We start from the raw sequence: 16,606 nt of genomic DNA on the forward strand, positions 1-16,606 counted from the left end.
GACGACTCTCCGACGCAGCGTGCTGAGTGAAAGAAGCCACACTCAAAAGTCTGCAACCGAGATGCTTCCACGTTATGACATTCTGGTAAAGGATAAGAAACAGATCAGCAGCTGCCAGGGCCTCGGGTAGAGGCAGAGGCAGACGGGGGAGAAAGAGCACAGGGGCTGGGGGGTTAGAGCCGTGCTCCGTGTCTTGATTGTGGTGATGGTTCTGTGCCTGTCAGTGTTTGTCAAAACTCACCAACAGTATGGCAAACAGGGTGAATTTTATGGCATTTAATTTCTGTCTCCAGAAAGCTGGCCTGAAAAAGTAAGACAGGCTTATTTGCACATCCATGCTCACGGCAGCATCTTTCACACTAGCCCGAAGGTGGGAACCACCCAAGTGTTCATCGACAGATAAATGGGAAAACAAAATGTGGTCCATCTATCCAATGGAATATTATTCAGCCTTAAAAAGGAAAGAAATTCTGACACAGGCCACACCACAGATGAACCTTAAGCACATGGAACTAAGTGGAATAAGCACTCACAGAAGGACACGGCCTGTAGGACTCCACTTCAATGAGGTCCCTAGAGGAGTCAGATTCATGAGACAGGAAGCAAAATCGGGTGCCAGGGGCTGGGGGAGGAGGGAATGGGGAGTCAGTGTTTAAAAGGGACAGAGCTTCGCTCTTGCAACATTAAAAGAGTTCTGGAGACTGATGGCGGTGATGACAGTACAATATAAATGTACTTAATGCACTGAACTGTACACTGAGACATGGTTAATATGGTATATTTTATATTATGTATATTTTTATATAATGTACATTTTTAAAAATGTTTCAAATGAAGGCAAAATAAAGACATTTTCAGAAAATCACTTTTAAGAACCTCAGAAATCGGCAGGTCTGGCCTCCTCATTTTAAAGATGGGGAAACTGAGGCTCATCAAGAGGGAATACCTGCTCAAGATCATGGGGCTCAGCAAAGGCAGAGCTTGAATGGGAAAGTGGGTTTCTTGCCTCATTATCCAAAGTGCTTTTCACTGGACACCAGGTCCCTAAGCAACATGCCGGCTGCTCACCAATGCAAATTTGTCTCAGTGACAGATCGAGTGAAGAAATAACCAGCTGTGAGTCATAAGTTCAAAACATATGCAGGGCAGAAAAAGACAACAGATGGCAACCTCGGCCAAGGTCTGGCAGGATGGAAAAAGAAGACCTGCAGGGTTGATGTTAACCAAAGGGTTTTCCGGCACTCCCATCAGTATCCTCTGCCATGATGACGATATCTACACATCTGAATCACCCAGGACATTTTTCGTACAATCAGACTTTACAAACCTGGCTGTAGATTTTTGTTTTTGTTTTTTTTTTTAGTGTATATATGTTTTTGGCACAAGCAGAACTCACCTTGCTCCTTTCCATTACATGTGGTAATTCCATTTTCCACAACACCCTCCCCATCTGAGCTGGGTCTCTCTGAAGACAGTTTCTGTAAGGAGAAAAAGATTAAGTTATTCTTACAGTGGTCACTTGGACCCAGTGATGTGTGATGGATCAACCAAAAGTTATCTCAAAAGTGAAAGAAAACACAGGCCAAATTCATAGCAATCCAGAAGTGGTTAGAGCTTAACTATAACAAAGACTGGCTGGTTAGGTGGCCACAACCGCTTTAAAAACATCCAGAGGGGGAAAAAAAAAGAAAAACCTCACTGAGGCTATAATTATACTAACCTATATATATACTGTCTCATGCCTATTTCATTCAAATCACTTCTTGTAAATGATTTTGAAAAAAATATTATGATTACAAAAAATATTTCCCTCACCAAGCCATATTATCCTCGCAGAAGTAAATATTCCATAGTCCATTTAATTTCTTCCTGTCATTCACCAATAATTAATTGGGTGAGTGTCAAGTATCTGCTTGTAACAATACACTCAGAATGTACACAGAGTGAGGGCAAGGTTGCTATCAAAACCCTTGGAGGGGGATGGGGGACTGTCACTATCTCAGTCCTAACGTCTGGATTTAATGAGTAATTAGGATTCCACGTCAGTATCTGAATGAGGTAGAGTGTTTACAGCTAGACCCCTTCCATTGCCACCCAAGAACCTGTGGGGTCATAGCGGAGGGAGTGGCCTCCAAACACCGTCCTCAGAGCCTGTGCCTTCCACGAGGGCCTTGGAGACTGGGACACAGATGAGATATGTGAGCAGTTCCCAGGCACAAAGGAACATGTGTGTTCAACTCGGAATTCGAGGGGCAATCCCTTAAGAGCTGCAGTGAAGAAACCAGTGCCACTTAGTGGGAAGCTGAGTTCCAGGGATACAATGACCTAGAGCTGGCACCGCCCTGGCTCTCACACCAGGAACAGCTGGGGGAATCCAGGGCAACAGGTCCAGCCAGGTGCTCACGGTACTGCCTTAGAAACCAACATAAGTAAAGCAGAATTGCCAATTCTGGTGTGAGTGCGTGGATGAGGAACTTGGATGCAGTATGGTGGGAAATAAAATTGCATCAACCTTTTGGGAAAGCAATTTGATTTTCAACATGAATCGAGATCTTAAAAAAGAAAAAGAGGTCTATCCTTTGGTCTAGTAATTCAGCTTCCAGAAATCTATTCTCAGGTAATAGGCAGAGAATCAGCAAAAATTATGCAAAAGATGTCAAGTACTATTTTATTTTAGATGGCCAAAAAAGGACAAAACAGGACAGGTACGGTGGCTCACACCTGTAATCCCAGCACTTTGGGAGGCCAAGGCAGATGTATCACGAGGTCAGGAGTTCGAGACCAGCCTGACCAACATGGTGAAACCCCCGTCTCCACTAAAAATACAAAAATTAGCCAGGCTTGGTGGAATCCCAGTTACTCAGGAGGCTGAGACAGGAGAATGACTTGAACTCAGGAGGTGGAGGCTGCAGTGAGCCAAGATGGTGCCATTGCACTCCAGCCTGGGCAACAAGGGCAAAACTCCATCTCAGAAAACAAACAAAAAGACAAAACAAAAGGACAAAACAACTAATGGGGGGGGCAGTTACATAAGTGATAATGGAGTCATACAAATTTGACATTAAGCTAATGAAAATGTAAAAATGTTTGTGGCTTAAGAGTTGTTAAAAACCTGGAAATTTGCTAATAATATAAAGGTTAAGTAAAAAAAAAAAAGCAGTATAAGAAACTTTATGCATAAGCTTATCCAAACCATTAAAAAAAAACCTTGAACTCAGGAAAGAGTGGTTAATATATCAGTAGTGTTAAGACGAGCTGCATCCTCTATGTGCTGTTGTAATGAGTGACTTTTTTCATCCCATTTATGTTTCTATGAGCTTTCTGAATTTTCTAAAGTGAGCAGAGATTAGTTTTGTAGTCAAGGAGAAAAACAGCCTGTTCCATTACGGTATGAGGATGAGGACTGTGATGTTTAATTTCACGTGTCAATGTGGGGGGCATCTGGGGATGAGATTAACATTTAAATTAGGGAGCTGTGAGTAAGCAGCCTGCCCTCTGTAATGTGGGTGGGCCTCCTCCAATCATTTCAGGGCCTCAGTGGAAGAAAAACACTGTCCTCCCTGAGCCAGTGAAATCTCCCTAAATTCCTGCAGACGCCTTCACACTTCACCTGCACCATCGGCTCTCCTGGGTCTCCGCCTGCGGCCCACACTGCAGGTTTCAGACTTGCAGGCTCCATAATCATGTGAACCAATGCCTTCTAAGAAATCTGCTTCTACATACATACATCCCATTAATTCTGTTCCTCTGGAGAATCCTGACTTATATGAGGACAGGCAAAAAGGGATCTGTCTCTTCAATGGCAGGAGGTTAGAGAGGGAGGGCTCAGAAAGTCCCAGGGACACAAGCTGCCAACAGAAGGTTTCATGGCAGGAAGCCAGGGGTCTCCAAGGAAACAATATCAGTTGGATTTAGACAAGCAAAGTGCATGCAGAGCAGGGCCTGCGGCGTCACAGTGATGGGCTCCATACATTTCTGGCAAAAAGGGGTGTACAGATGACAGGCCATCCCCGCCCACTGCTGTGCCCCTCTGCCTTCCAACAAGCAACAAGAGTGCAAAGCAAAGGGAGACAGAGACACATCCTGGTCTGCTGGGAAGAGACCTTTGGGAAGGTACATTTATGAAACGCCTGCTGTATTCCGGAAGTAGACAGGCTTGCCTTCAGACTTCAGCTCTGCCATTTAATAGCTATGTGACCTTGAACAAGGCCCTCACACATTTAAATCCATTGCTTCATCTGTAGCTGGGAGTAACAACACTAACTACACAGTCTGTAAAATGACTAATTCAAGCTTAGCGCAAAGCAGGCAGTTAAAAAGATGGGAAGCACGACTGCACTTTTTCTTTTTTAACTGGAAGCGCTGAAATTCTCAGAGATTGTTATCAAACTTTGAAAGAGACCCCAATCCACTGCAAGGTCACCGTCCCCACCCAGCAAGAGCAGCGCCCTTACCTTCTCCAGTTCTGCCTTGTGCACCGGGGAGCTTGGTGGAGGAGGACACTCTGAATCCACGGGGCCACTACAACCACTGTAGGCTTCTTTGATCACCTATAAAAAGCACAGACACTTTGTGAGTATGCCCAAAGGCAGAGATACTTAAAGGCTTGAACTGTGAGTTGTACAGACAGAGGCACATGGCGTGGTAGGGAAATTCATGGGCTCAAAGCACCTGGCTCTGAGTTCCAGCGTGCCAGGTACTCATTTGTTCACTCACCCATGCATTCATTCACCCAAAGTCTATCAACGCTGGTACTAACATAGGGCATGGAACATGCAACTACGTTTCCTGCTGGCATGGAGTTTCATTCCATGTAATTTATTTATCGCCATGAACAATAAGGGTCACCAAAAGAATGACAGCAACACGAGACCGCAGTAAGTGCCACAAAGAACAAAAGATAGTGGGTGGCTACTTTAGATCAAGAGACCAGGGGGCCTTATGCAATGATGCTGAAGGGTCCAGCCATGCGAACAACTGGCGGGAAAGGGCTCTGGGCAGCAGGAACAGCTGGTGAAAAAGCCCTGCGGTGGATGTGAAGAGTTGGGAATAACCCGGAGTGCAAACTGGCAGGACGGGAGAGGGAGAACGTGGTAGGAGATGAGGCAGGAGGCCAGTAGGAGACTTCAGGCCCAGGAGAAGACAGACCCTAGGAGCATTTCAAGGAGAGGAGGGACTGGATTCAAGAGCATTGGCTCAGGACCTAGTGCCTGGGTTTAATCCTGGCTTTAGCCTTGGACAAATCAATTAACTGCCCTGTGCTTCAGCTTCCTCATCTGAAAAGTGCAGGTGCAACAGTGCCTACCTTCTGAAGGTTAAATGCCCCAAGACAGGGCCTAAAGCATAACCAGCACTTGATTGTTAAAAGGCTGTAGAAAACACTCTAGTTGCTGTGGGAAGAAATAATTATACAGGGACAACAACAACGAAAAAGCATAGGGAAATCCATGAGAGGACATTGCTGTAGCAGTGCAGGTGGCAGCAGAGGCTGGAGTGACCCCACTGAAGACAGAAGGACAGACAGGGAGTCAGGAGGTACCCGAGGGAGAATCGCCAGGCCCAGCTGGATTGGACATGGGACTTGAGGGAAAGAACTGACTCCAAGGTGACTCCTGGATTCTTAGCAACTGGGTGGTGCTATTTACTCAGAGGAAGACTGGACAGAGAAATGGGCTGGGTGGAGAGAAGCCAGTTTGAAGTCAACAGCAAACTTCTAGTCAGTGCTAGAAATAAACTGGGAGCCACTGGCAAAAGGATGATGCTCACAGCCTTGGTCTGGATGAGTTTACCAGGGAAGATGGCAAGACAGAGAAGAACAGAGATCAGGGAGAAGGACCTGGAGCCCGTTGGCGTCAAGGAGTAGAGTTAAAGGAGAGAAGCTGGTAAAAGATGCTGAGCTGGAAGGCACGGGAAAGCAGGCAGAAAACCAGGAGAGCACAGTCTCCAAGGAGAGGGAGAAGAGAGCTCCACGGAGGGAGATGAGCCGAGAGAGAGAGAGACAGCCGTGACTCCCTAAGGGAAGCGGAGAGACTAGGAGTGGGGGAGGAGGAGATGAGCAAAGGAAGGCGTTTCCAAAGTGTTCCTTCTCCTGCTGAAGGATGGTTCCATTTTAATGAAAGGCAGAGTGAGGATGTGGAGGGAAGAGGGAGGAGGCAGAGAGGCTAGCACATCCTGTCTGACAGAGTCCACTTTCTCAGTAAGACTATCTGTTACCAGGCCAGGCGCAGTGGCTCACACCTGTAATCCCAATGCTTTGGGAGGCTGAGGTGGGCGGATCACCAGAGGTCGGGAGCTCAATACCAGCCTGACCAACATGGAGAAGCCCCATCTCTACTAAAAATACAAAATTAGCCGGGTGTGGTGGTACACGCCTGTAATCCCAGCAACTCAGGAGGCTGAGGCAGAAGAATCTCTTGAACCCAGGAGGCAGAGGTTGCGGTGAGCCGAGATCGCACCACTGCACTCCAGCCTGGGCGACAAGAGTGAAACTCCATCTCCAAAAATATATATATACATATATCTGTTACCAGCTGTGTGGCCTTGGGGGAAAGTATTTAATCTCTCAGAGCTTCAGTTTCCTCCCCAGCGAGGGAATAAGTGTGAAGATTACCTGTCTTGCAGGACTATGGTTAAACTGAGACAGTGAGATCCGCTATGGAAGAAGTCTAAGCCAGCATGTGGCACGTGTACATTCAAACCATGGAAGCAACACCGTCATTACTGTCAGCATTTTGATGACCTATGATAAGAGCTCAGAAAATGATTCTGGACTAGACTTCCAGATGCAGGGATGGTGAGCCTGCAGGACAGGATTCCGTGCACGAGGGCTTTCCCAGCCGCCCCCTACATGCAGTCACCACATGTTTCTCCAACCCCTACTGAGCTCATCAGCAACCAGGCCCACTGTGATCACGGGGGACGTGCAGCAAATAAGACAGACAAGGTTCCAGCACTTGCAAAACTTACATTCTTAAAACTGAAAAGTTAGCAGGCAAAATTTTCAAAATGTCTTCTATTCTTTTTAGGACTAAGCTGCAATTTCAGTTAAACTCAAGCTTCTTCTGGGCAAAAAAGAAACACCAAAGTCCCAGATATGTGTGTAGTAATTTTGCAATTGGGCCTCCACAGACAGATCCAAATTCCCTCAGCTTGTGCTGGTGCTGGGATTAAATCCAAGGCCTGACAAGAGACCAGGATAGTGTTTCCAGCCATTTTGCTCCTCAGCTGTTTTATGAAAAAACAACAGAGTGATGTCCACAGTTGAGACTACAAAAGAGAGAAAGAAAATGAAAGAAGAAACCCAGAGAGCTCGCTGTCATATCTCCTCTTTGCTAATGCCGAGGTGTGGAAGCATGAGCAAACCTGAACCTCAATGCAGTGATCTGTGTGTCTGATCTCTCTTGTTTCTCTCGCTTTCATGCTAATTGCTTTTTTGGTCTTTACTCCCTCACCTACCCTAAGGTGTTTATTAAGTCTCCAAATGACAAGGCAAATTTTTATTTGATTTGAGGACAAGACTTTCTTTTCACTAGGGAAGGCATGTTCACGCAATGGAAAACTCCTGAGCTTCTACGTCAAACCCACCTGGGTTTAAACCCCAGGTGGACCACTTGCTGTTTATGTGAAGCTGAGCAATTCTCAGAGCCTTGCTTCCTTCCTCAATAACACGCACAAAATAATACCTCAGGGGGTCATTGTGAAAACTAAACGTTAAAACAAATGTGAAGTATCCAGCCCAGTATTTCTCCCCTAACAGGCATTAAGGAAACCTGAACTCTCCCCACGATTATATTTAATAGTGTTAAATAAATGAAAATGTGCTTCCATTATACAAACGCACCTGACATGCTCTTCATTTTACACTAAAAGGCTGTACCCCATAAAACATAACCTGCCAAAACCCATGATCTCTGGCAAATGTTTTTATTCAAAAAAAACGGTTGTCTTCTTTCTTTTTCTTTTTTCTTTTTTTTTTTTTTTTGAGACAGAGTCTCGCTCTGTCGCCCAGGCTGGAGTGCAGTGGCACGATCTCGGCTCACTGCAAGCTCCGCCTCCTGGGTTCATGCCATTCTCCTGCCTCAGCCTCCTGAGTAGCTGGGACTATAGGCGCCCGCCACTGCGCCCGGCTAATTTTTTTTTTTTTTTGTATTTTTAGTAGAGACGGGGTTTCACCGTGTTAGCCAGGATGGTCTTGAACTCCGGACCTTGTGATCCGCCCGCATCGGCCTCCCAAAGTGCTGGGATTACAGGCGTGAGCCACTGCGCCCGGCCCCTCTTTCTTTTTTTTTTTCAACAGGGGAACTTCTTTGGCAGCACTACTCCAATTATTCCCAGCAGCCTCTTGGGTAGGGTGGAGGGGCTGGCTGTGTGAATGGTGTCTTCTGGAGGAGCTGTGCTTTTTTTTATATAGCTAAATAGAACTCATCTTTCAAGATTCAGCTGAGGTCTCCCATCTTCAGGAAGCCTGCTCTGGCCCTTCTGTGTGGTCCATAAGGCAGGGCTCCCCCTCCACACATGCCCACAGAGGCCTGTGTCTCCTACTAAGTTGTGCTCGTGTTCATGGGAGGGGCTGGGCCTTGCTTTTGTCACTGTTCCCAATGTCTACTTCGAAACAGCAACCAAAAGTTTGATTAAAGGGAAAACAATGAGGGAATGAGGAAAGAAACTGGAATTAAGATTTCTATGAAGAAAAAAAAGAAGGAAAGAAAAACAGAAGGAAAGAAACGTAGGCCATCACTAAAATAAGAAGAGCCTCATGACCAAGCTTCCCCAGTCCTCGGCACTGGTTTCTAAAATCCTCAAGAGGAAAAAGTGTTGTTTTGTGTGTTTTTTAAAGGAAAGTAGATAAAAGCCATCTGGCACATACGCACTTCCCCACTCAGCCCTACCCTAACACACACACCCTGGCTAAGCTCCTGGCAGACTCGCCTGGTCCCTGGAGTGTCCCCATCCCTCTCCTGTTCCCATCAGCTCCGACTTTCTAGCAGACAGACGACGCTGCCCAGCATCAAAGCACCTCACGTAATCGCCTTTCCAAGAAGCTTTCCTGGTACACCCAACCATGTAATCTGAATGCTTAGAATGGGGAACACAGACAAGCCAGCCACGTTTGCTCTCTAATCATTAACTTCTCTCCCAGCTAGAACTCACATTGCCCCAGGAAAATAACAGCATCTCCAACAGTGCTTGGGAGGATCGCATTCAGCAACCCAGAGCAGGCCCAGGATCAACCTGGTGCCCAGCAAGGGGGTGGCTCATGGCATCCCAGCTTCGTGGGACTCTCTTCCCCCAGGCATAATAACTATGTCCAAGGTACGAAGAAAGGCATTGCTAAAAACATGCATCAGCATAAACCAGTCTTTATTCCCACAAAGTTTTTCAACCAGTCGGAGAGGTCAGGTTATTTTCATGAAACTGTCTTTCTACTTTGGATCTCTGTTGATTGCCAAGCTGCACCTGCAGAGTTTAGTCAGAAGTAATAAGTAAAGCACTGATCACTCCAATTCTTTGAACAGCTATAAATGAGGCTTCTATTAATACATTTCTACTTGAAGAGCCATGTCCTATGAGGTTCAATGTGTATTTAAGAGAACTGGATCCAAATTCAGAATCGCAAATCCTCCAAAAAAACAAATTGTTATATATTTTGTGGTATTTTGTTTGCTTTTAACTTGAGCCCTCGACTCCAGAAACACAATCTCTGCACATTTTTTAAGGAAATCTGACCACTCCGTTTCTGGGAATATTGGCTCTTGTCTTCTGTTTGACCCCTACACAAAGGCTCATGTTTTCAGCATTTGTGTACACACACACACACACACAGAGACAGTCAGTTAATTCTGTCAAGAACCACTAGTAATGGAAATTGGAGACAGAGAGCAGAAACAAATTTGGCAGTAATTCTTGCACGAGTATGTGCAAAGTCAAGCACTGGTTAAACACAGTTCTCATGGTTTTTTTAGACTTGACAAAGGGCGTGTGCAACTTCATTAAAGATTTTTAATGGTTACATTAAAATTACGTTTCACAGAAAGTCAAATCTCACATGTTCTCACTCATGTGGGTGCTAAATAATGCCTACACGTGAATGGAGAGTGGAGAATGACAGCAATGGAGGCCGGGAAGGCTGAGGGAACGGGAGGAAGGGGGATGGCGAGAAATTGGTTAATGGGCACTGAGGGAATGGGAGGAAGGATGGTGAGGAACTGGTGAAGGGTACAGTGTACATTATTTGGGTGATGGATACCCTGAAATCTCTGATTTGACCACTATGCAATCTATGAATATAAATTTATACAGATCTTTTCCAAAGCTGTGTTTCAAAAGACTGAAAGTCTGGTTCATTAGTACTGAACAATATGGGATAACAGCAGTTTATATTAATAAAAGACTTGGCATTTGTATTATAAAACAATTCATGTTAGAGACTTGTTAACCCTAAGGGGTAATACAAATATTATCATTCATATTTTCACTGTTTATTATAGTTCTAAGAATGCATTTATATCATGATTTCATTCTACCCCTTTGAAAATTCTGATGATTATTTCCACTTGATAGATAAACGGGAAAGGGTTTATTGCCCCAAAATATCATAACGAGTTAATGGTATTCCAGGAATGTACCCTATGCTTCCCGACTCTCACCCACCTTTCCATCACTCTAGCGCACTACCTTCTGGCTCACCAGGGGTTGTTCCTTTTATGCGGCAGTTCTTTAGTTTTTAAAAAAAATCTACCTCAGTCACCAAGACGTGGCCTTTACAAGGTGAAATAAAGAGCTATAACAACACTGACTTCTTTCAAATTAAAAACAGATAATTTTAAAGACATCAACTATTTGGAAAGTAAGCACTATATTCCCAAATAAACCATTAGTCAAAGAAGAAATCAAGACAGAAATTAGAAAATATTTTGAGCTGAATAATAAAAGTACAAAATATCAAAACGTAGAGGGTGCCGTTAACACTGTGTGTAGAATGAGACATGTAGCCTTCAATGCATGCATAAGGAAAAAAGGCTAAAAACTCAATTATCTAAGTGTACGCTTCAGGAAGTTGCGATAATTACAGCAAATTAAGCTAAAAAAAAGTAGAAGCAAAATAATAAAGAAAAAGAACTACATAAAGTAGAAAATAATCACACTACAGGAAAAAAAATTAACATAGCCCAGAAAGATATTTTTTGAGAGAACTAATAAAATTGATAAACTTCTGGCAAGACTGTGAAGAAGAAAAGGCAGCAGGCACAGGGCATTTTTACTCCAGTTACCACACAGAAGAGCATGCAAGACCATCACTCCCACCCTGACAAATAAAACAAGTGGATATGCTTAAAAAAAAAAAAAAAAGTCCTAGTACGTCTGAACCGTTCTGAGCAATGAAGATGCAAAAAACCTACATGAACTAAATCCTAAAAGTGAAGGCTCCTTTGCAGGAAAAAAGTGACCCACAGGCCCCCTTCTAACTGGTAGAATGGTGGGTGAAGGGGGAACCCACCATATTTGGGACAGGGAAGAAGCCAGCCAAGTTCTCACTGTGTGGGCTGGCATACCTGTTGACAATTCAAGGTGCCCCGGTGACAGAATGAGTCCACAGTCACCTGCCAACTCTCTCCAAGGTCTTTACTGGGTATGCAGGTACAGAACAGAAGCTGGAGGCAAGGAAACAGAGTTTGGAGAGTCCCCACCCCACCCCGCCGCCCCCAGAGGCACAGCCCTTCTCCCAGGTGCAAGGCAGTTGCCCTACAGGGGAAGGCAGGGAAGCAGAGAGACGCCCCTCCCAGGAGGCCCAGGCTTCCCAGAGCATCCACAGCTGGAGACAGAGCACAGCACAGAGGGATTTCGCCCAAGGCACAAAAAGCCAGAGGCAAGACTGCAGAGAAAAGAGACCACTTAGCAAGTGAAAAAGCTGGCCGGTAGGCCAAAAACAAAAACAAAATCAAGCTGGTTTAGAAAGCTGGCACTTGTCTGTAGCACACAAAAGAGATCTTCAGATTTTCACCACGGGTCTTGGGTCCTGGGCCATGCCATGCCAACGACAGGAAACTCCTGATCCAACACGTCAATGGTTTGGAAGGCAGTAGGGGAGTGAGAGTGAGGCAAGGTGAAGCTGCAACAACGTGCAGCCCCTCCCCACCTGCAGGAGAGCCAGATACAGGCTGCCAGTGGGGAGCAGGGTAGGAGGCGGGCACACCCTTCTCCAGGGAAATAGGACTCTTGTCAGTCTCTGCTGTTCTTCTACACAAAACGCATGGAATGTCATGGAAACTCCTGAGACAAATTCAACAGAGGCAGCCCAAGAGCTGGGCCCAATATTGGAATGACCAAAGATGTTAAAATAACTAAAATAAAACATGCTGAAATAGCTCATGAAAAGGCAGGCGACATAAAGAGATGGAGAACTTCAGCAGAGATGGAAACGATTTAAAAAAGAAAGAAAGAAATGCCAGAAGTGAAAAATGGATCTCAGAAAAGATGACGTCATCAGCTGGGCTGAAGAGCCCACAGGAGAGAAGAGGACCCGTAAGCCCGAGTACAGGTAAATAGAAGCGTCCACCCAAGCTGAGGCACGGAAGGAGTGAAGGAAACCACAACGGAGTATCCACAATCTACGGGAAGTATCAGAGGACCCAACATACCTACAGATGCAACTTCAAAAGGAGAGGAGAGGCCGGGCACGGTGGCTCATGCCTGTCATCCCAGCACTTTGGGAGGCTGAGGCAGGCGGATCACCTGAGGTCAGGAGTTCGAGACCAGCCTGACCAACATAGAGAAACCCCGTCTCTACTAAAAATACAAAATTAGCTGCAGGTGGTGGCACACGCCTGTAATCCCAGCTACTTGGGAGGCTGAGGCAGGAGAATCGCTTGAACCCGGGAGGTGGAGGTTGCGGTGAGCAGAGATAGTGCCATTGCACTCCAGCATGAACAAGAGTGAAACTCTGTCTCCAAAAAAAAAAAAAAAAAAAAAGGGAGAGGAGAGAAAAATGAGGCAAGAGAGGACGGCCAAAAGCTTCCCCAAGTGAAGCTTTTGAGAGACACCAACCCATAGAACAAAGAAGCACAACCAACCCTGAGAAAGAGAAAAACCCACACCACCGCACTGAGACACATCGCAGTCAGCTGCTGAAAACCAGATGTGGAGAACAAATCTTAAGAGGAGGAAGGCGGGAAAGGACACTCCACACCCGGAGGACCAATGGGCACAAAGGGCGGGTGACGTCTCATCCGAGCGAGGGAGAAATGAAGACCCTTCCAGACAGTCAAGGCTCCGAGAGTTGACTTCCAGAAGATTCGCTGTATAAAAAAAGGTTTCTTAAAATTTTGTTTTAATAACTTCTTTGGGGTAAAAGGAAATGAAAGTGACTGAACACCCAAATCTTCAGGAGGAAATGAAGGGCATGTGGAAGGTGAATTCAGCCCGGTGAATATTAAAGACGTGGCTTCAAATGTGGGTGTCCACAGGATTCAGGTTCTGCAAGGACAATGGATACAGTAAACATATTGTGGTTCTTCCTTGAGAACTCTGGCAAAGCCACTATGGTACCTGCACAGCACATTAAAGCCACTCTGTGTTCACCTAGGGCTGCTTGAAACCACAAGATGCTAAGAAATCCCTATAGCGTCGCCCCCACGCCCCCCGGCTGGCTATGTGAACTTGGGATCCACCAGCACCAGGACTCTGCTACGTCCTGATGAGAAAAGGAAAGCAGCATTTTCAAAACTGCTTAAGATGGTTGCCTTAGGGTGTTTTGGTTTATTTTGAAATTCGAGACAGCAGCTTATTCACCATGTGGTTTCTTCTTTCAGCAGACACAGGAAGAGTCTGTCTCTCAGCCTCCCCCACAGTTTGGCCAAAGGAGTGTGGGAAGCGGTGATGTAAGTCCAGTTCTTGCCCCCAGAAACATCCTGCTGTCATCAGCTATCCGGCCTGTTCTCTGCAGGCGTATGCGGAGCCTAATGAGATGCAGAGGTGGTGGCAGAGGAAAAGCAACAGTGGTAAGAGCAGCTTTTACTTATGTAAGGCTCATGACATGCTTTCTGCCATTGTGAACACTCTGTCTTAGCATCTCGTCCTCACAATAGCTCTAGAAAGCAGATACCATTATTATACCCACCTTTACAGATGAAGAAACAGAGGCACTGAGAAGTCACATAGCTTGTCCAAGAAACACAGTGCCTAACAGCTAGGGCTCAGGTCATAGTCCCAGGAGTCTGACTCCAGTCTGTGCTCTACCTATACCGTCTGAAATGGTTTAGCTGTGTCCCCACCCAAGTCTCATCTTGAATTGTAGTTCCCATAATCCCCATGTCTCATGGGAGGGACCCAGTGGGAGGTAATTGAATCATGGGGGCGGTTACCTTCATGCTGTTCTCGTGATAGTTACTGAGCTCTCAGGAGATCTGATGCTTTTATAAGGGGCTTTCCCCTCTTTTGCTCCGCACTTCTCTCCTGCTGCCATGTGAAGAAGGACGTGTTTGCTTCCCCTTCTGCCAAGATTGTAAGTTTCCCAAGGCCTCCCCAGCCATGTGGAACTGTGAGTCAATGTAACCTCTTTCCTTTATAAATTACCCAGTCTAAGGTATTTCTTCATAGCGGCATGAGAAGACTAATACACTATCTCTCCACACAATACTGGCTCCCAAGTCCTTTTCCTGGCTGTGTTATATTATGCTGAACTTAAGAAGCAATTATAAAAATCAAGTAAAACTTTATTCAAAGTGGTTGTGGGATGCCATTTACCCTAACTGCCTATCTGACTACAAAAAGACTTATTTTCTCTGATATCCTACCACTTCCCTGAGGCCTCCTCTTAAAAGGAAATGGGGGTGCTGAGCAAGGGTAGTTATTACCAAACCTGGCTTTGCCTCAGTCATCTGAGAACTCCTTAAAAAGAGAATTATAAGCAAAGAATACAGACAAAAACAGCAAAGGATATAAACACAGTTCACAGAAATACTGATACAACTGTAGGCTCTTAAACCCTATAAAAAATACTCAGTGTCATTCACAATAAGAGGAGTGCAGATTACAACTAGACTGAGATACCATCCTTCCACATCAGACTAGCAAAAACTCACAAGTTGGCTAACACACTCTATTGGCAAGGCTACAGGAAGAAAAGGCACTCTGATATATTGTTGGTGGGAGGGAAAATTGGTAAACCTCCTAGGAGAGTGCCTTAGCTATACATCAAAATTATAATACGAATGCTGATAACCTTCATGGAAGTGATTACTCTTTCTGAGAATTTAGGCTACAGACCAGCAAAAGTGTGAGATGAGATAAGCATAAGGTTATCTAATACAGAATTGTCTGTAATATCAAAAGACTGAAAGCAACCCAATGTCCATAAATGGGAGACAGACTATCTTTTTGAAGTATGGTCTATTCATACAATAAAATGTTATAGCCTGTAATAAAGAAAGAGGAAGTGCTCTATTCTCTAAATTGCAAAAATCTCCAGGATACTTTGTTTAGGTGGAAAAAAAAAAACAAGGTCCAAAATGCTGCACCCTTTCTATGGGGCGGGGCGAGGGGGAAGCAGATGAAATCTGCATTGCTATTTGCTTGCCTATGTACAAGGAAACTCTGAAAGAATACATACAAAATAGTAACTCTCCTGCACCGCTGGGAGAAGGGAATTGTACAAATAATCTTGGAAGACAATCTGGCAGAGTTGGTGATGCTGAAGGTGTGCACATACTAAATAAGGCAATTCCAATGTAACAGGAGCGTCCTAGAGAAGACAAGAAACGCGAGGCTGTGGGACATGTGCTGGAAGACCTCACGGCACCTCGGCCTGCAGTAGCAACAGCCCGTGAGCACAAAAAGTGGCCATCAGAAGCAGATAATTCTGAGTGAGAAAAAACAGCTGCAGGGTTTGTGGAGTTTGAAGCCATTTACACAGAAATTCTAAAACATGAATAAAGTATCATTTACCTTGAATGGTTATATACACATATAAGTGAAAGGTTTTATTATTATTATTATTATTTATCTTTAGAGACAAGGTCTCATTCTGTCACCCAGGCTGGAGTGCAGTGGCCCAATCACAGCTCACTGAAACCTCAAACTCCTGGGGCTCCAGCGATCCTCCTGCCTCTGCCCCTCAAGAAGCTGGGACTATAGGCTATGCCACCATGCTCAGATAATTTTTTAATGTTTTATAGAGATAGCCTCTTGCTATTTTTCCCAGGCTGGTCTTGAACTCCTGGCCTCAAGTGATCCTCCCGCCTTGCCCTCCCAAAGCACTGGGATTACAGAAGTGAAAGTATTTTTTTAAAAGCATACCAAGATAATAATAAAGACCAAATTCAGATAAAAGTCGCCTTTGGGAAGGGAGAGAGACTTAAATAGGGGAGGCATGTTTCAATTCTATCTGTAGCATTTTAGACCTTAAAAGGATATAAAAATAATACAAAGTAAAAAGGGAAAAAAAGATTCTTAAGTCCCTAATAAATCTGAATCACTGGGAATCAATGTTTTTTACATCTCTAAGTGTTTCTGATCTAATGACAGTATCTGGAAGAAACTACACTAGCCCATCTCAAGTCTCTGCTGGCCCAAGATAATTCTGTAACTGCTTGAAACTAGTTTTGTCATC

The 16,606-nt window shown here is 44.9% G+C and overlaps 1 protein-coding gene across 9 annotated transcripts in view, besides 4 other annotated features; it reads right to left on the reverse strand.

Annotated features, from left to right (window-relative positions):
- Positions 1-16,606, reverse strand: part of AFAP1 (actin filament associated protein 1) — a 181,149-nt gene that overhangs the window by 55,909 nt on the left and 108,634 nt on the right. For all 9 annotated transcript variants that reach the window (NM_001371091.1, XM_006713909.4, XM_047416061.1 and 6 more), the window contains 2 exons: positions 4,455-4,550; positions 1,397-1,478 (listed from right to left, as the gene is read on the reverse strand). In NM_001371091.1, coding sequence (NP_001358020.1) covers positions 1,397-1,478; positions 4,455-4,550 — 178 coding nt within the window. The remainder of the gene's footprint in view (positions 1-1,396; positions 1,479-4,454; positions 4,551-16,606) is intronic.
- Positions 11,359-11,860: an enhancer, noted in NCBI's record as "NANOG-H3K4me1 hESC enhancer chr4:7827707-7828208 (GRCh37/hg19 assembly coordinates)". NCBI's record gives its function as "activates a minimal SCP1, AML or CMV promoter by ChIP-STARR-seq in naive H9 embryonic stem cells {active_cell/tissue: H9 hESC(naive)}" and the evidence as "EXISTENCE:reporter gene assay evidence [ECO:0000049][PMID:30033119]".
- Positions 11,861-12,360: an enhancer, noted in NCBI's record as "NANOG-H3K4me1 hESC enhancer chr4:7828209-7828708 (GRCh37/hg19 assembly coordinates)". NCBI's record gives its function as "activates a minimal SCP1, AML or CMV promoter by ChIP-STARR-seq in naive H9 embryonic stem cells {active_cell/tissue: H9 hESC(naive)}" and the evidence as "EXISTENCE:reporter gene assay evidence [ECO:0000049][PMID:30033119]".
- Positions 13,701-14,201: an enhancer, noted in NCBI's record as "H3K27ac hESC enhancer chr4:7830049-7830549 (GRCh37/hg19 assembly coordinates)". NCBI's record gives its function as "activates a minimal SCP1, AML or CMV promoter by ChIP-STARR-seq in naive H9 embryonic stem cells {active_cell/tissue: H9 hESC(naive)}" and the evidence as "EXISTENCE:reporter gene assay evidence [ECO:0000049][PMID:30033119]".
- Positions 13,747-13,856: an enhancer, noted in NCBI's record as "active region_21280". NCBI's record gives its function as "activates an Ori minimal core promoter by ATAC-STARR-seq in GM12878 lymphoblastoid cells {active_cell/tissue: GM12878}" and the evidence as "EXISTENCE:reporter gene assay evidence [ECO:0000049][PMID:35858748]".

The sequence above is a fragment of the Homo sapiens genome, chromosome 4 (genome assembly GCF_000001405.40).
Source record: "Homo sapiens chromosome 4, GRCh38.p14 Primary Assembly".
In the NCBI taxonomy this organism is placed as follows: Eukaryota; Metazoa; Chordata; class Mammalia; order Primates; family Hominidae; genus Homo; species Homo sapiens.